This window comes from Homo sapiens, chromosome X (genome assembly GCF_000001405.40).
Source record: "Homo sapiens chromosome X, GRCh38.p14 Primary Assembly".
In the NCBI taxonomy this organism is placed as follows: Eukaryota; Metazoa; Chordata; class Mammalia; order Primates; family Hominidae; genus Homo; species Homo sapiens.
In genome coordinates this window covers 70639867-70660411 of record NC_000023.11, presented here as the reverse complement: position 1 = coordinate 70660411, position 20545 = coordinate 70639867, and the positions used below count along the sequence as shown (strand labels likewise).

Below are 20545 nucleotides of genomic sequence, written 5' to 3'. Positions count from 1 at the left end.
TACAATGTTTGTATTTTAAGCTCGGTGTTATTACAAAATACTTAAAAAGTTTTTTAAATATTAAAAAGTTTATAAAGTTAAAAAGTTACAGTAAACTCCATTATTGAAGAAAGAAAAATATCCTTTTATAAATTGAGTGTAGCCTAAGTATACACTGTTTATAAAGTCTACAGTAGTATACAGTAATATCCTAGGCCTTCACATTCACTCAGCACTCACTGACTACCCAGAGCAACTTCCAGTCCTACAAGCTCCATTTATGTAAGTACCCTATACAAGTGTACCATTTTTTATGTTTTATACCCTATATTTACTGTATTTTTTCTAGGTTTAGATATGTTTAGATATATAAATACTTACCATTAAAATTGCCTACAGTATTCAGTACAGTCACATGCTGTAGAGATTTGTAGCCTAGGAGCAATGGGCTATACCATATAGTCATGTATAGTAGGCTATACCATCTAAGTTTGTGTAAGTACACTATGGTGTTCACACAAAGATGAAATTGCCTAATGGCACATTTCTCAGAATGTACCCCTGTTGTTAAGTGACACATGACTGTACCACATTTTGTTTATCCTTTCATCTATTCATTGGACACTTGGGTTGCTTTGACATTTTGGCTATTATGAATAAATACTTCTATGAACATAGATATTACAAGTATCTTTTTGAGTTCCTGCTTTCAGTTTTTTTGAGTATTTACCTAATAATATAATCATTGGATCATGTGGTAATTCTGTATTTAACATTTTGAACAATCATCCTACTTTTTTCCACAATGGTTGTACCATTTTACATTCCCACCAGTAATGCACAAGTGTTCCAATTTCTCCACATCCTGGTCAACACTCACTGTTTTTAAGTTTTTTGATAAAAGCCATCCTAATGGGTTTGAAGTGTTCTCTTATTGTGTTTTTGATTTGCATTTCCCTAATGACCAGTGATGTTGAACATATTTTCATGTGCTTATTGGCCATTTGTGTATCTTCTTTGGAGAAACATCTGTTGAAGTCCTTTACCCATTTTTAATTGGGATTTGTATTTTATAGTGGTTGAATTGTAGGAATTATTTATATATTTCAGATATTAACCCCTTACCAAAATATGATTAGCAAATATGTTTTCCCATTCTGTGGGTTGTCTTTTTCTTAGTGTCTTTTGAAGAACAGTAGATTTTAAAAAATTTTTGATGAGGCCCATTTATCTGATTTTTCTTTTGTTGACTGTGCTTTGGGTGTCATATCCAAGAAGTCATTTGCAAATCCGATGTCATGAAGATTTTCGCATGTGTTTTCTTCTAAGACTTGTATAGTTTTAGCTCTTATGTTTACACCTTTAATCCATGTTGAGTTAATTTTTATGTGTGATATAAGGTAAAGATCCAGCTTCTTTCTTTTGCATGTGGATATCCTGGTTTCCCAGCACCATTTGTTGAAAAGACTGTCCTTTTCCCATTGAATAGTTTGGGAACCCTTGTCAAAAACCATTTCACCATATATGTGAGGGTTCATTTCTGGGCTCTCTATTATATGCCATTGGTCTATATGTCAGTCCTTATCTCAGTACTATACTGTTTTGATTACTATATCTTCATAGCTAAGTCTTGAAATCAGGATCCCTTGAAACTTCATATGAATTTTAGGATGGGTTTTTTTATTTATGAAAAAAAAATGCCCTTGGAATTGTCATAGGGATTACATTGAATCTGTAGATCACTTTGGGTATCTTCATTTTTCAGTGTTTATCTTTTACTGTGGTAAAATATACATTATCTTCATTCCTTCTTAACTTCAAATTTTTTCTTGTTTTTGACTTTTAGTCTCTTTTGGCATTATTGGCTGTATTTATTTACTTTTGACTTTCTTCTTGTTAGTCTTCATTTCTGAAATGACTTCTTTTACTTCTAATATTTTCCTTAGCTCTACCACCTCATTTCTGAGTTTTTCTAATTATTACTATGGGTTTTTTTGTTTGTTTGTTTGTTTTTTTGAGACTGAGTCTCGCTCTGTCGCCCAGGCTGGAGAGCAGTTGTGCTATCTCGGCTCACTGCAACCTCCGCCTCCCAGGTTCAAGCAATTCTCCTCCCTCAGCCTCCCGAGTAGCTGGGATTACAGGCACCCGCCATCGTGCCCGGCTAATTTTTGTATTTTTGTAGAGATGAGGTTTCACCATGTTGGCCAGGCTGGCCAGGCGGAACTCCTGACCTCAGGTGATCCGCCCTTCTCAGCCTCCCAAAGTGCTGAGATTGCAGATGTGAGTCACGACGCCCCACCGCTAATTCTTATTTAGGTTGATCTTTCATATCTTGTATCATTTTTTAAATTTTTATTATTATACTTTAAGTTTTAGGGTACATGTGCACAATGTGCAGGTTAGTTACATATGTATACATGTGCCATGCTGGTGTGCTGCACCCATTAACTCGTCATTTAGCATTAGGTATATCTCCTAATGCTATCCCTCCCCCCTCCCCCCACCCCACAACAGTCCCCAGAGTGTGATGTTCCCCTTCCTGTGTCCATGTGTTCTCATTGTTCAATTCCCATCTATGAGTGAGAACATGCGGTGTTTGGTTTTTTGTCCTTGCGATAGTTTACTGAGAATGATGATTTCCAATTTCATCCATGTACCTACAAAGGACATGAACTCATCCTTTTTTATGGCTGCATAGTATTCCATGGTGTATATGTGCCACATTTTCTTAATCCAGTCTATCATTGTTGGACATTTGGGTTTGTTCCAAGTCTTTGCTATTGTGAATAGTGCCAAAATAAACATACGTGTGCATGTGTCTTTATAGCAGCATGATTTATTTTTAAATGTGTTTAGCTCATTTTTAAATAGTCGGTTATGATTTTGACCTGTTTTTTGAGCACATTTTTCTGACATGCTTTCATTTTCTGTGGGGATACTTTGCTGCTGCTGATGCTGCTGCTGCTTTTTTTTTTTTAATTTTTTACAACTTTTTAGGGTATTTACCTTAAAGCTTTACTGTTTCTCATTTTGATGTGAAATTAGTTTTCCTTAACTTATAAAAAGGTAGACATTTAGAAAGTGTTACTACTTCACAGAGCTCCCTTTTTTGTTTTTGGTTTGGTTTGGTTTGTTAGTGTTTAAAAATAAGGCAGCTTTTATTCTGAGATTTCCTGGCTCTGCTTCTCTCTGTCTTTTGGTGTACACCCACACTGTCCAATATGATAGCAATGAGGCATGTGTGGCTATGTACGTTTAAGTTTAAATTAATTAAAATTAAATAAAGTTATAAAAATTTATTTCTTCAATTGCAGTAGCCACATTTCAAGTGCTAAATAGCCATGTGTGGCTAATGACTACTCTATTGAATAGCACAAATATAGAATATTTCCATCATCACAGAACTCTATTGGACAACACTGATCTATACTTTTTCTTTCATCTTTGTTGTCACTGTCCTGTTCAGTTTTTTATTGTACTCTCAGCAGTTTCTCCTTAGTGTGGAGCCTCTCAGAGGGGAGCTCTAGTGGGTAAGCTTTAAGGGTTCATAGGGCCTAGACTACTATCGCTTCTTTAGTACATCTTTGATATGAGGTCCTTGCACTCACTCAATAATGGAGAAAGCAAATTATCTCCCAATTTCAACTGCTGTTCTCCAGTTTCCCCATCATGCTATTCAGTTGATTTCTACAAGCCAATTTTGGGGTCCTCCTTTTCTATATAGTCCATTAGACGCTTCCCTATTACTTCCTTTTTTTTCTTCATCCTGTACAGATGCTGACATAATGCAGGTCTTGTAGCTGTTGTTGCTTTTTCTCCACCCACTTGTGTTTCTTAATGCCTCGGGATATTTTGTCACTCAGTTTTGTTATAAACGCTGTCTGTGGTTTTTGGTTTTGCCATCTGCATGCTCAGTTGTTTTTCATGAGAATTCAGAGAAATGTTACCTCTACCACATATTTCCAGAATCATTTTGTATAGTTTTTTTTTCTTCCTACCTACCTACCGACAGGGCCTCACTTTGTCACCTAGGCTGGAGTGCAGTGGTGTAAACACAGCTCACAGCATCCTCAACTTCCTGGGCTCAAGTAATCCTCCTACCTTAACCTCCTGAGTAGCTGGGACCACAGGCATGCACCACCATGCCTGGCTAATTTAAAAAAATTTTTTTGTTGAGACGGGGGTCTTACTATGTTGCCCAAGCTGGTCTCAAACTCCTGGACTCAGATGATCCTCTCACCTCAGCCTCCCAAAGTGCTGGGATCACAGGCATGATCAGCCATGCCCAGCCTCATATGGCATATATATATATATATATACACAGCTACCTTTGCTAAAGTCTCTTAATAATTGTAATAATTTGCTTATAAATTCTTCTGGGTTGTCTACATATTCAATTATACAAATTGACAATTGTGTTTCTTCTTTTTCAATATGCTTTATATATTTCTTGTCTTATTTTGTCTAATAATTCAACCACTATGTTGAATTAAAGTGGTGTTTTGGATTTAAAAGGGAAAGCTACCATAAATTGCCATTAAATATGATGTTTGCTTTAGGGTTTTTTTGTGTTGTTGTTGTATAGATACGGTATTAGTTTCCTAGGGATGCTATAACAAAGCACTACAAACTGTGTGGCTTAAAACAACAGAAATGTATACACTTATAGTTCTGGAGGCTGGAAGTCCAAAATCAAGGTGTCGATAAAGCTATGCTCTCTCTGAAGACTTTAGTAGAGGATTCTTCCTAGACTAGATTTGCTTAATGGTTAGGTAAATGGTCACTTTTTGTAAATATTCTGTGTGTGCTTGAAAAAAATGTGTTTTCTGCAGTTTTTAGGCACTGTGTATGTACATATATGTACAGATGTTCCTTGACTTACGATGGAGTTATATCCCAATAAATTGATCATAAGTTGAAAATATCGTAAGGTGAAAATGCAGTTAATGCTGGCAAAATGGCAGGCATCTACAACTTATGATGGTTTAACTTAATGGTATTTTGATTTTATAATGATGTAAAGGCAATATACATTTAGTAGAAACCATAACCCTGTCATAAGTTGTAAGGAGCTCCCAGACTTACGATGTGGTTACATCCTGATAAACCCGTGGTAAAGTCAAAAAATCATAAGACGGAGACCACCTATATACACACATGTATAAATTTAGATTAAGTTTGTTCATTTTATTTGAATCTTCTGTATCAAAACTCATATTTTGTGTACTTACTCTATCACTTACTGAGATGAGGTGCTGGAATATCCCTTTATGGTTTGAATTGATCTATTTCTTCATTTAATTTTATCATTTTTGCTTTATATATTTTAGGCCATACTACTTATACATACAAAATTAGTACTGTAATATATTTGTTTGTTGAAGTTTTATTGTTATGCAGTGATCTTCTTTATATCTAGTATTATTTTCTGCCTTAAAGTCATTTTTGTCTGATATTAATATATCCACACTTTGGTTAATATTTTCCAGATAGATCTTCTCTAATCCCTTTACTTTGAACTTTTAATACATTTATATTTTAGGTGTGCCACTTCTAAAAAACATGTAGTTACATATTTTTAATCCAGTCTGACCATTTTTGTTTTTTAACTAGGGCATTTCGTGTTTATACATTTAATACAATATTGGTATATCTGAGTTTAAATCTGTAACTTACTTTATGCTTTCTATTTGTCATTTCTTTTTTTTTTTTTTTTTTTTTTTGAGACAGAGTCTCACTTTATGCCCAGGCTGGAGTGCAGTAGTACAATCTCTGCTCACTGCAAACTCCGCCTCCCATGTTCAAGTGATTCTCATGCCTCAGCCTCCCAAGTAGCTGGGATCACAGATGTGTGCCACCACATCCAGCTAATTTTTATATTTTTAGTAGAGATGGGGTTTCACCATGCTGGCCAGGCTGGTCTCAAACTCCTGTTCTCAGGGGATCTGCCTGCCTGAGCCTCCCAAAGTGTTGGGATTACAGGCATGAGCCACCGTGCCCGGCTTCTATTTGTCATTTCTATCCTGTTTCTTTTTCTCTCCTCACTTGCCTTCTTCGGGATCAATGTTTCTAAATAATAGACTTTACTTGTTACAGCAGTTTTAGGTTTACAGAAAAATTGAGTAGGAAATATAGAGAGTTTTCATATACCCCCTCACGGTTCTTCACATACTGTTTCCCCTGTCATTAACATCTCGCATTAGTGTGCTATATATGTTACAGTTAATAAGCCAATATTGATATGTTATTTTTAACTAAAGTCCGTAGTTTACATTAGGATTTAGTCTTTGTGTTGTACATCATATGTGGTTTGATGAATGTATAAAAAAGTGTCTACCATTATAATACCATACAGAATAGTTCAACCCCCTGTGGTTCAACTATTCATCCCTTCCTCCCTCTCACTGAACTAGTGTCAACCACTGATCTTTTTACTGTCTCCATAGTTTTGCCTTTTCAGAATGTCACATAATTGGAATCGTGCAGTATGTAGCCTTTTCAAATAGGTTTCTTTCACTTAGCAATATGCATTTAAGATTCCTTCATGTCCTTTTATGGGTTGGTAGTTAATTTTTTTTAGTGCTGAATAATATTTCACTATCTGGATATATTAGTTTATACACTCACCTATGGAAGAACATCTTAGTTGCTTCCAAATTTTGGCAGTTATGAATAAAGCTACTATAAATATCTTTATGTAGATTTTTGTGTAGACATAAGTTTTGACACATTTGAATAAATACCAAAGGTGCAACTGCTGGATTGTATGGCAAGAGTATGTTTAGTTTTGTAGGAAACTGCCAAACTGTCTTCCAAGTTGGCTATACCATTTTTCATTCCCACCAGTGATGAATGAGAGTTCCTGTTGCACCACATCCTTGCCAGCATTATATGTCGTTAAAGTGTTTTGAATTTTAGTTATTCTAATAGATGCATAGTGATATCTCATTGCTGTTTTAATTTGCAAAACCCTAATGACATAAGATGTTAAGCATCTTTTCATATACTTATTTGCCATCTGCATATTTTATTTAGTGAAGTGTTTCTTCAGGTCTTTTGCCCATTTTATACTTGGGTTGTTTATTTTCTTATTGTTGAATTTGAAGAATTCTTCATACATGTTGAATACCAGTCCTTCATTACATATGTGTTTGGCAAATATTTTTTCCCAATATGTGGCTTTTATCATTATTCTCTTAATGCTGTCTTTCACAGAGCAGTTTTTAATTTTAATGAAGTTTAACTTACCAGTTTTTTCTTTTATAGATATGGTTTTGGTGTTGTGTCTAAAAAGTCATTGCCAAAGTTCACCTAAAATTTCTCCTATGTTATCTTCTAAAAGTTTTATAGTTTGGGTTTTTATATTTAGGTTATAATCCATTTTCAGTTAATTTTTGTGAGAGGTTTATGGTCTGTGTCTAGCTCTACTTTTTTACATGTGGATGTCTAGTTGTTCCAGCACCAGTTGTTAAAAATACTATTTTCATTTTTTTTTTCATTGCAGTCTTCCCCTTCTACTAGTGTGAAAATTATTTACTGCTTCTAATCTTTTAGTGGCTATCCTAGAAAGTATAGAATCCTTTCTTAACTGTCTTCCATGTTTGTAATCGCTCTGTGCTGCATTTTGGCTATTTTATTCTTTCAGCCCACTAATTTTCTCTTCACCTGTTTCTAATCTGCTATTAAACCTGTCTATTATGTTTTAATTTGGGTAATTGGGTTTTTCATTTCAAAAAGCTTCTTTGTTTCAGATCCCCAAGGTCACATTTTATGGTCTCTGTTTCCTACTAACTTCACTGATATGCAAAGTATTTAATAACTGGTATGGCACAGGTAATAATGAGACAGAATGGATACCATCTAGAAACAACCACTATAACTGTATTAATTTGTACCACTGTGTATCAACCCACATACATATATTTTGAACATACATTGTATTTCTTTAGACTTTGAAAACATAGGTGTTTTATAACCAGTTTTTCATAATTCTAGTATCTGCATCTTGAGGGTCTGCTTCTGCTATCTCGTTTCTGCTGTTTATGGTACCTTGTTTCCGAGTGTGCTTTGTTATTTTTGTAACGTGTACAACTCATGGTTCTTGAAAAATTATTTATGGAAATATTTCGAAGGCTGACATAAGGTGCTTTCCCCCAGAGAAGATTTACATTTGCTTCTGTAGATGCTTGGGAGCTATCTAAACTAAATTCTCAGCTTTAGGTCTTTTAGCTTCCTGTATAATGTAGTTTGGGTCAGTGAATACATGAGTCTCCTAGTATTACACCTCATGGATTGTTTCCCTCCACCCCATTGTGCTGCCTTCTATTCAGTACTAAGGTAACTTTATTTGCAGTTTTCCAGGGATGTGGGTAGGAGTGGGTTTACTTTTGGCTTGTCCCTAGTCTAGGAGTGTGATCCCTTGGAACTTGATGTCTTTTCCCCTGACCTAGTGATGTCCCTCAAAACTGAAGTTAACATTTGCTTACATTTGCAAATGCTTACCAGATAAAAGCGACTTTACTTTTCTGTTTACCTCTCTGAGACCTCAGTTTTCCTTAGATTTTGCCTTGGTAATTCTTTTGCTATTTGTCAGTTGCTCTTTTGTTCTTTCTGGAAAAAAATTAATATATCATCCAATATTTTTGGTTGTTTTCAGCAGGAGGGTTGGTCTGACATATCTAACTTACTCTATTTCCAGAAGTATAACTCACTGTTGCATTAGCATTCTAGAAGAGCACTTCTGCAAATATTTTTCTTAGATTCATATATTTTCATTGTGAGTATCCCTCAGCCATTTTGACTACCTTAATGATATTAGTAAAATATGGTAAGTCCTTCCTTGTAGATTTTATTAAAATGACCCAGTGTTTTTCTTTCCAGGCCAAAGAGGCAGTGGCAGAAGCTGAACGACATGACCCTAGGAACGTTTTCACTCAATTTTATATATTCAAGATTGCAGTCATAGAGGGCAACTCTGAAAGAGGTATAAATTTTATTTGTCACTTATATTTGACTATTAACACAAAGAATAAATAATCCTCTTCAACCACAGTGGGAAAAAAACATTGTTTTTAAGACAATAGAATTGAATATATGTTCTGTCTTTCCTATGTAAAGGTGATACAACAATGCAAAAAGAAACCGTGGAAGGTTATATAAAAGTAAAAGAACAGTGGTTACCTATTGAGGGAATAGGAACTGGGCAAACGCGGGACAAGAATTAGGGGAAAGTCTTATCACTATGTACTTTTTTATACTTTTATTTAAACCAACCTATTCAAAAATTAAATTTAAAAAGCTGTGTGTGGGTGAGATTATACTAAAAACCCATATCAGTTAAGAATTGTCTTCAAAAAATGAAAGTTGGGGTACCTTTTGATTGTTTTCACTTATTTGGGAGGTGATTGGTGAGAGATTTGGCCTTGAGATGGAGTTTCTCTCCACAGAGTAGACAGTCTTGGAATTTCACACATGACCCTCATCCCATTAATGTTGAGGCCTTTCCATTAAGTTAAGCATAGTTTCCTAGCTGGTGTGTCTGCATGGGCACATATATGTTGAATTGGTTATAGATATGCCTTTGCTCAGATATTAATGCCTTCAGCCCTCAGGTAGCTGAATTAATCCTGAAGGAGTCTGAGCTCCAGACTGGTTGCCATTTGTTTGGCAGAAGTTAAGAAACTTAAATTAATGGATCCAAACAAAATGTATACGAATCCAATTAAGCAACTGTTTTTGGACACCTACTACGTACAAAGGACTCTGTTATTCACTCCTTAAGAAAAAAGATCATTTATTTTACATTAAAAAAGAAATGTTCCAGAATAGTAAAGTATACCTGTATAATAATTAAGGAATAGTAAATTAGAGGTTAATATTGCTGTCATGTTCATCATCAAAGTTTTCATTAGAGACTTTTAGGCATTTGTTTTACTTGATATACTGTGTTTAAGGGTAAAATAACTTGAAGCTTTTTTGCCAGTAAAAATGGCAAAAATATTAGTAATTTTCCTGTTAAATCTTTTGTTTTAACATTATTTTTTAAAAATTATTTTACTTTTTAAATACAACATCAGATCAACCCTTTTATTTCTTCTCCAGTTGTCTGTGACCATTTTTTAAGTCACGTATATTGAAGATACATATAATAAATTTACTCTTGCTAGTGTATGGTCCTATGAGGTTTATATATGTTAAAAATTCTGAGTTTTGAAGTGCATACAGTCATATAACTACCACCACAATGTAGAAAAAAAATACCTCAGGGCCCTTTACTGTTACTCCTTCTCACCACTTTCAGCCCTGGAAATCAGTAATCTCTTCTATCTCTATAGTTTTGTCTTTTCCAGAATGTCATATAAATGAAATCATATAGTATGAATCTTTTTGAGCTTCTTTCACTTAACTTAATGCATTTGAAACTCACCCATATTGTGTTTATCCACAGTTTGTTCTTTTTTATTGCTATGTGGCATTCCATAGTATGGAAATACCACAGTATGGAAAAATGCATTCACCAGTTGAAGGATATTTGAATGGTTTTCAGGGTTTTTTTTCACCTCTGAGACAAGTTCAAAGTTTTCAGTTTTGACAATTGTGAATAAAGGTGCTGTAAAACATCTCTTTACATATTTTCTGTGATAATAATATTGTTTTTTTGAGATGGGGTCTTGCTCTGTCACCCAGGCTGGAGTGCAGTGGCATGATCTCAGCTCACTGCAATCTCCACCTCCCAGGTTCAAGCGATTCTCCTGCCTCAGCCTCCTGAATAGCTGGGACTACAGGTGTGCACCACCATGCCCAGTTAATTCGATGATAATATTTTACTTCTGTAGGGTAAATATCTAGGAGTGGGACTGTGGACTTATATGGTAAATACATGTTTAACTTTATTAGAAACTGCAAAACTGTTTTCTAAAGCGACTATACAATTTCACCTGTGAACCAGCTATGTTTAAGAGTTCTAGCTGATCTACATCCTCATCAGCACTTGAAATTGTCCACTTAAAAAAATTTAGCCATTCTGGGAGATTATTAAAAAGTCAAGAAACAACAGATGCTGGTGAGGCTGTAGAGAAATAGGAATGCTTTTACACTGTTGGTGGGAATGTAAATTAGTTCAATCATAGCGGAAGACAGCATGGTGATTCTTCAAGGATCTAGAACCGGAAATACTATTTGACCCAGCAATCCCATTACTGGGTATATACTCAAAGGAATATAAACCATTCTATTATAAAGATACATGCACACGTGTGTTCATTGCAGCACTATTCACAATAGCAAAGACATGGAACCAACCCAAATGCCCATCAATGGCAGACTGGATAAAGAAAATGTGGTACATATACACCGTGGAATACTATGCAGCCATAAAAAGGAATAAGATCATGTCTTTTGCAGGCACATGGATGAAGCTGGAAGCCATCAACCTCAGCAAACTAATGCAGGAACCGAAAACCAAACACCACATGTTCTCACTCATAAGAGGGAGATGAACAATGAGAACACATGGACACAGGAAGGGGAACAACACACACTGGGGCCTGTTGGGGGCGGGGAGGGGAGGGAGAACATCAGGACAAATAGCTAATGCATGTGAGGCTTAAAACCTAGGTGATGGGTTGATAGGTGCATCAAACCACCATGACACACGTATGCCTACGTAATAAAACTGCACTTTCTGCACATGTATCCTAGAACTTAAAGTTAAAACAATAAAAAAGAACAAAAATTTAGCTATTCTGATAGTGGGTAGTAGTGTTTTACTGTGGCATTAGCATTTCCCTAATGTTTAATATTTTATTAAACCATGTATGTTTTTGGGTTGTTTGTACAAATCTTTTTCCCAGTTTAAGATAGGGTACTTTGTTTTATTATTACTGATTTTTGACAGTTCTTTATATATTCTGGATACAAGTTGTCTTTTTTAAAAACTTATTTTTTTAATTGGCAAATAAAAATTATATATATATTGATCATGAACAACATGGTGGGTTTTATTTATTTATTTATTTTATTATTATACTTTAAGTTTCAGGGTACATGTGCACAACATGCAGGTTTGTTACATATGTATACATGTGCCATGTTGGTGTGCTGCACCCATTAACTCGTCATTTACATTAGGTATATCTCCTAATGCTATCCCTCCCCAGTCCCCCATCCCACAACAGGCCCTGGGGTGTGATGTTCCCCTTCCTGTGTCCAAGTGTTCTCATTGTTCAATTCCCACCTATGAGTGAGAATATGCGGTGTTTGGTTTTTTGTCCTTACTATAGTTTGCTGAGAATGATGGTTTCCAGCTTCATCCATGTCCCTACAAAGGACATGAATTCATCATTTTTTATGGCTGCATAATATTCCATGGTGTATATGTGCCACATTTTCTTAATCCAGTCTATCATTGATGGACATTTGGGTTGGTTCCAAGTCTTTGCTATCGTGAATAGTGCTGCAATAAACATACGTGTGCATGTGTCTTTATAGCAGCATGATTTATACTTCTTTGAGTATATACCCAGTAATGGGATGGCTGGGTCAAATGGTGTTTCTAGTTCTAGATCCCTGAGGAATCGCCACACTGACTTCCACAATGGTTGAACTAGTTTACAGTCCCACCAACAGTGTAAAAGTGTTCCTGTTTCTCCACATCCTCTCCAGCAACAACATGGTGTTTTAAAGATATGTATACATTGTGGAATGGCTAAATCAAGCTAATTAACATATACATTACCTCACATCCTTTTTTTATTTTTTATTTTTTTGAAGCAAGGTCTTACTCTGTCACCCAAGTGGAAGTGCAGTGGAATGATCACGGCTCATTGCAGCCTTGACCTCCCAGGCTCAAGAGATCCTCCACCTCATCTTTTTTATTATTTTTTGTATAGATGGAGTCTCACTATGTTGCCCAGGCTGGCCTCAAACTCCTGGGCTCAAGCAATCCTCCTGCTTCAGCCTCCCAAAGTGCTAGGATTACAGGCATGAGCCATCACACCCAACCCTACCTCACATACTTAGCATTTTTTTTGTGGTGAGAACACTTAAACTCTCAGTGATTTTTAAGAATAGAATACATTGTTATAATCTATAGTCACCATGTTGTACAATAGATCTCTTGAACTTGTTCCTTCTGCTCAACGGAAATTCTGTATTCTTTCACCATCTCCCTAATCTCCCCGACTCCTTAGTCCCTGGTAACCACCATTCTACTTTGCTTCTATGAACATTCTATTCTGCTTCTATGAGGTCAACTTCTTTAGATTTCACATATGAGATCATGTGGTATTTATTTTTGTGTGCCTGGCTTATTTCACTTAATATAATGTCTTCGAGGTTCATACCTTTTTTTCATAAATGACAGGATTTCCTCCTTTTATTGAGGCTGAATAGTATTCCATTGTCTATATATACACCAGATTTTCTTTATCCACTTATCCACCGATAAACAGTTAAGTTGATTCCATACCATGGCTATTGTGAATAATGCTGCAATGAATATGGGAGTGCAGATATCTCTTTGACATATTGATTTCACTTCTTTTTTATATTCTACTACGTAGTGGGACTGCTGGATCATATGGTAGTTCTACTTTAATTTTTTTGAGGAACCTCCATACTGCTTTCCATGATGGCTATACTAATTTACATTCCCACCTACAATATGCAAGAGTTCCCTATTCTCCGCATCCTTGTCAGCACTTGCTCTCCTTTGTCTTTTTTATAATAGCCATTCTAGCAGATGTGGGGTGATGTTATCATCGTGGTTTTAATTTGCGTTTCTCTGATGAGTAGTGATGTTAGACATTTTTTCATATACTTGTGGACCACTTGCTCATCTCCTTTTGAGAAGTGTCTTGTCAGGTCATTTGCCCATTTTAAAATCAGGTTATTTGTTTCCTTCCTATTGAATTGTTTGAATTTCTTATATATTTTGGATGTTAACCCCTTCTCAAATGCCTGGTTTGTAAATATATTCTCCCATTCCATACATTGTGTCTTCACTCTGTTGATGGTTTCTTTTGCTGTGTGGAAGCTTTTTAGTTTGATGTAATCCCATGTGTCTATTTTTGTGTTTAGCAATGTCGTGGAACTTTTCCTCTATGTTTTCTTTTAGTAGTTCTACAGTTTCATGTCTTACGTTTAAATCTTTAATCTATTTTGAATAGCTTTTTTATATATTGTGAGAAAAGGGTCAAATTTTATTCTTCTGCATGTGGGTATCCAGTTTTACCAACACTATTGGTTGAAGAAACTGTCCTTTTCTCATTGTGTGTTCTTGACACCTTTATTGAAAACCAATTGACTGTAAATGTGTGGATTTATTTCTGGGCTCTCTATTTCCTTCCATTGGCCTATGTATCTGTTTTTCTGCCAATACCATGCTGTTTTGATTAGTATAGCTTTGTAGTTTATTTTGACTTCACATAGTATGGTGACTTCAGCTTTCTTATTTTTGCTCAAGATTGCGATAGCTAGTCAGGGTCTTTTTGCTTCCGTGGAAACGTCAGTATTTTTTTTTTTATTTCTGGGAAAAAATGTCACTGGAATTTTAATAGGGATTGCATTGCATCTGTAGATTGCCTTGGGTAGTATGGACATTTAACAATATTTTTCCAATCCGTGAACCTGGGATATCTTTCCATTTCTTTGTGTTTTCTTCACTTTCTTTCATCAGTGTTTTATAGTTTTTAGTGTACATGTCTTTCACTTCAACATTAAATTTGCTCCTAAATATTTTTGTAGCTATTGTAAATGGAATCATGTTTTTAATATTTTTTCAGGTAGTTTGTTGTTAGTATGTAGAAATGCTACTACTTTGTGTATATTGATTTTGTATCTTGCTACTTAATTGAATTCACTTATTGGTTCTAAATTTTTTTTCATTGCCTCTGTAAGGTTTTCTATATATAAGATCATGTTATTTACAAGCAGACAATTTAACTTCTTCCTTTCCAACTTAGATATTTCTCATGCCTAATTACTCTGACTAGGACTTCCAGTAGTATGTTGAATAGAAGTAGTGAGAGTGGGCATCCATGTCTTCTTCCTTATTTTAGAGGAAACGCTCCTAACTATTCACCATTGAGTATGGTGTTATTTGTCCATTGGTCATATATGGCCTTTATTGTGTTTTTTTTTTTAAATCATGGAATGATGTTGAATTTTGTGAAATGATTTCCATTTTTTGGAAGAATTTGAGAAGGATTGGTATTAGTTCTTTAAACGTTTGGTAGGAGCAGTGACACCATCAGATCCTGAGCTTTTCTTAGATGGAAGATTTTTTGTTATTCATTTAATCTCCTTATTCATTATTTGTTCACATTTTCTATTTCATTATGATTCCATCTCGGTTTTATATGTCTAGGACTTTATCTTTCTTCTAGATTATCCAATTTCTTGGTACATAATTGTTCATAGTAGTCGCATGATTTTTTATATTTCTCTGGTACCAGCTGTACTGTCTTCTCTTTCTTTTTTTATTTTATTTATCTTTTTTTAATTTTTTTTATTATACTTTAAGTTTTAGGGTACATGTGCACATTGTGCAGGTTAGTTACATATGTATACATGTGCCATGCTGGTGTGCTGCACCCACTAACTCCTCATCTAGCATTAGGTATATCTCCCAATGCTATCCCTCCCCCCTCCCCCCACCCCACAACAGTCCCCAGAGTGTGATGTTCCCCTTCCTGTGTCCATGTGATCTCATTGTTCAATTCCCACCTATGAGTGAGAATATGCGGTGTTTGGTTTTTTGTTCTTGCGATAGTTTACTGAGAATGATGATTTCCAATTTCATCCATGTCCCTACAAAGGACATGAACTCATCATTTTTTATGGCTGCATAGTATTCCATGGTGTATATGTGCCACATTTTCTTAATCCAATCTATCATTGTTGGACATTTGGGTTGGTTCCAAGCCTTTGCTATTGTGAATAATGCCGCAATAAACGTACGTGTGCATGTGTCTTTATAGCAGCATGATTTATAGTCCTTTGGGTATATACCCAGTAATGGGATGGCTGGGTCAAATGGTATTTCTAGTTCTAGATCCCTGAGGAATCGCCACACTGACTTCCACAATGGTTGAACTAGTTTACAGTCCCACCAACAGTGTAAAAGCATTCCTATTTCTCCACATCCTCTCCAGCACCTGTTGTTTCCTGACTTTTTAATGATTGCCATTCTAACTGGTGTGAGATGGTATCTCATTGTGGTTTTGATTTGCATTTCTCTGATGGCCAGTGATGGTGAGCATTTTTTCATGTGTTTTTTGGCTGCATAAATGTCTTCTTTTGAGAAGTGTCTATTCATGTCCTTTGCCCACTTTTTGATGGGGTTGTTTTTTTTTTTCTTGTAAATTTGTTTGAGTTCATTGTAGATTCTGGATATTAGCCCTTTGTCATATGAGTAGGTTGCGAAAATTTTCTCCCATTTTGTAGGTTGCCTGTTCACTCTGATGGTAGTTTCTTTTGCTGTGCAGAAGCTCTTTAGTTTAATTAGATCCCATTTGTCAATTTTGTCTTTTGTTGCCATTGCTTTTGGTGTTTTAGACATGAAGTCCTTGCCCATGCCTACGTCCTGAATGGTAATGCCTAGGATTTCTTCTAGGGTTTTTATGGTTTTAGGTCGAATGTTTAAGTCTTTAATCCATCGTGAATTGATTTTTGTATAAGGTGTAAGGAAGGGATCCAGTTTCAGCTTTCTACATATGGCTAGCCAGTTTTCCCAGCACCATTTATTAAATAGGGAATCCTTTCCCCATTGCTTGTTTTTCTCAGGTTTGTCAAAGATCAGAGAGTTGTAGATATGCAGCGTTATTTCTGAGGGCTCTGTTCTGTTCCATTGATCTATATCTCTGTTTTGGTACCAGTACCATGCTGTTTTGGTTACTGTAGCCTTGTAGTATAGTTTGAAGTCAGGTAGTGTGATGCCTCCAGCTTTGTTCTTTTGGCTTAGGATTGACTTGGCGATGCGGGCTCTTTTTTGGTTCCATATGAACTTTAAAGTAGTTTTTTCCAATTCTGTGAAGAAAGTCATTGGTAGCTTGATGGGGATGGCATTGAATCTGTAAATTACCTTGGGCAGTATGGCCATTTTCACGATATTGATTCTTCCTACCCATGAGCATGGAATGTTCTTCCATTTGTTTGTATGCTCTTTTATTTCCTTGAGCAGCGGTTTGTAGTTCTCCTTGAAGAGGTCCTTCATATCCCTTGTAAGTTGGATTCCTAGGTATTTTATTCTCTTTGAAGCAATTGTGAATGGGAGTTCACTCATGATTTGGCTCTCTGTTTGTCTGTTGTTGGTGTATAGGAATGCTTGTGATTTTTGCACATTGATTTTGTATCCTGAGACTTTGCTGAAGTTGCTTATCAGCTTAAGGAGATTTTGGGCTGAGACAATGGGGTTTTCTAGATATACAATCATGTCATCTGCAAACAGGGACAATTTGACTTCCTCTTTTCCTAATTGAATACCCTTTATTTCCTTCTCCTGCCTAATTACCGTGGCCAGAACTTCCAACACTATGTTGAATAGGAGTGGTGAGAGAGGGCATCCCTGTCTTGTGCCAGTTTTCAAAGGGAATGCTTCCAGTTTTTGCCCATTCAGTATGATATTGGCTGTGGGTTTGTCATAGATAGCTCTTATTATTTTGAAATATGTCCCATCAATACCTAATTTATTGAGAGTTTTTAGCATGAAGGGTTGTTGAATTTTGTCAAAGGCCTTTTCTGCATCTATTGAGATAATCATGTGGTTTTTGTCTTTGGCTCTGTTTATATGCTGGATTACATTTATTGATTTGCGTATATTGAACCAGCCTTGCATCCCAAGGATGAAGCCCACTTGATCATGGTGGATAAGCTTTTTGATGTGCTGCTGGATTCGGTTTGCCAGTATTTTATTGAGGATTTTTGCATCAATGTTCATCAAGGATATTGGTCTAAAATTCTCTTTTTTGGTTGTGTCTCTGCCCGGCTTTGGTATCAGAATGATGCTGATCTCATAAAATGAGTTAGGGAGGATTCCCTCTTTTTCTATTGATTGGAATAGTTTCAGAAGGAATGGTACCGGTTCCTCCTTGTACCTCTGGTAGAATTCGGCTGTGAATCCATCTGGTCCTGGATTCTTTTTGGTTGGTAAGCTATTGATTATTGCCACAATATCAGATCCTGTTATTGATCTATTCAGAGATTCAACTTCTTCCTGGTTTAGTCTTGGAAGAGTGTATGTGTTGAGGAGTTTATCCATTTCTTCTAGATTTTCTAGTTTATTTGCATAGAGGTGTTTTTAGTATTCTCTGATGGTAGTTTGTATTTCTGTGGGATCGGTGGTGATATCCCCTTTATCATTTTTTATTGTGTCTATTTGATTCTTCTCTCTTTTTTTCTTTATTAGTCTTGCTAGCGGTCTATCAATTTTGTTGATCCTTTCAAAAAACCAGCTCCTGGATTCATTAATATTTTGAAGGCTTTTTTGTGTCTCTATTTCCTTCAGTTCTGCTCTGATCTTAGTTATTTCTTGCCTTCTGTTAGCTTTTGCATGTGTTTGCTCTTGCTTTTCTAGTTCTTTTAACTGTGATGTTAGGGTGTCAATTTTGGATCTTTCCTGCTTTCTCTTGTGGGCATTTAGTGCTATAAATTTCCCTCTACACACTGCTTTGAATGTGTCCCAGAGATTCTGGTATGTTGTGTCTTTGTTCTCGTTGGTTTCAAAGAACATCTTTATTTCTGTCTTCATTTCGTTATGTACCCAGCAGTCATTGAGGAGCAGGTTGTTCAGTTTCCATGTAGTTGAGTGGTTTTGAGTGAGATTCTTAATCCTGAGTTCTAGTTTGATTGCACTGTGGACTGAGAGATAGTTTGTTATAATTTGTGTTCTTTTACATTTGCTGAGGAGAGCTTTACTTCCAAGTATGTGGTCAGTTTTGCAATAGGTGTGGTGTGGTGCTGAAAAAAACGTATATTCTGTTGATTTGGGGTGGAGAGTTCTGTAGACGTCTATTAGGTCCTCTTGGTGCAGAGCTGAGTTCAATTCCTGGGTATCCTTGTTGACTTTCTGTCTCGTTGATCTGTCTAATATTGACAGTGGGGTGTTAAAGCCTCCCATTATTAATGTGTGGGAATCTAAGTCTCTTTGTAGGTCACTCAGGACTTGCTTTATGAATCTGGGTGCTCCTGTATTGGGTGCATATATATTTAGGATAGTTAGCTGTTCTTGTTGAATTGATCCCTTTACCATTATGTAATGGCCTTCTTTGTCTCTTTTGATCTTTGTTGGTTTAAAGTCTGTTTGATCAGAGAATAGGATTGCAACCCCTGCCTTTGTTTGTTTTCCATTTGCTTGGTAGATCTTCCTCCATCCTTTTATTTTGAGCCTATGTGTGTCTCTGCAAGTGAGATGGGTCTCCTGAATACAGCACACTGATGGGTCTTGACTCTATCCAATTTGCCAGTCTGTGTCTTTTAATTGGAGCATTTAGTCCATTTACATTTAAGGTTAATAGTGTTATGTGTGAATTTGATCCTGTCATTATGATGTTAGCTGGTTCTTTTGCCCGTTAGTTGATGCAGTTTCTTCCTAGTCTCGATGGTCTTTACATTTTGGCATGATTTTGCAGCAGCTGGTACCCGTTGTTCCTTTCCATGTTCAGTGCTTCCTTCAGGAGCTCTTTTAGGGCAGGCCTGGTGGTGACAAAATCTCTCAGCATTTGCTTGTCTGTAAAGTATTTTATTTCTCCTTCACTTATGAAGCTTAGTTTGGCTGGATATGAAATTCTGGGTTGAAAATTCTTTTCTTTAAGAATGTTGAATATTGGTCCCCACTCTCTTCTGGCTTGTAGGGTTTCTGCCGAGAGATCCGCTGTTAGTCTGATGGGCTTCCCTTTGAGGGTAACCTGACGTTTCTCTCTGGCTGCACTTAACATTTTTTCCTTCATTTCAACTTTGGTGAATCTGACAATTATGTGTCTTGGAGTTGCTCTTCTCGAGGAGTATCTTTGTGGCGTTCTCTGTATTTCCTGAATCTGAACGTTGGCCTGCCTTGCTAGATTGGGGAAATTCTCCTGGATAATATCCTGCAGAGTGTTTTCCAACTTGGTTCCATTCTCCCCATCACTTTCAGGTACACCAATCAGACATAGATTTGGTCTTTTCACATAGTCCCATATTTCTTGGAGGCTTTGCTCATTTCTTTTTATTCTTTTTTCTCTAAACTTTCCTTCTCGCTTCATTTCATTCATTTCATCTTCCATTGCTGATACCCTTTCTTCCAGTTGATCGCATCGGCTCCTGAGGCTTCTGCATTCTTCAGGTAGTTCTCGAGCCTTGGTTTTCAGCTCCATCAGCTCCTTTAAGCACTTCTCTGTATTGGTTATTCTAGTTATACATTCTTCTAAATTTTTTTCAAAGTTTTCAACTTCTTTGCCTTTGGTTTGAATGTCCTCCCGTAGCTCAGATTAATTTGATCGTCTGAAGTCTTCTTCTCTCAGCTCGTCAAAGTCCTTCTCCGTCCAGCTTTGTTCTGTTGCTGGTGAGGGGCTGCATTCCTTTGGAGGAG

General features: G+C 36.2%; 1 protein-coding gene across 7 annotated transcripts in view; it reads left to right on the top strand.

Annotated features, from left to right (window-relative positions):
- The window catches only part of TEX11 (testis expressed 11), a 397485-nt gene that overhangs the window by 248300 nt on the left and 128640 nt on the right, over nucleotides 1–20545 (top strand). For all 7 annotated transcript variants that reach the window (XM_017029649.1, XM_017029650.1, XM_017029651.2 and 4 more), the window contains one exon: nucleotides 8860–8962. In XM_017029649.1, the coding sequence (XP_016885138.1) occupies nucleotides 8860–8962 (103 nt within the window). The remainder of the gene's footprint in view (nucleotides 1–8859; nucleotides 8963–20545) is intronic.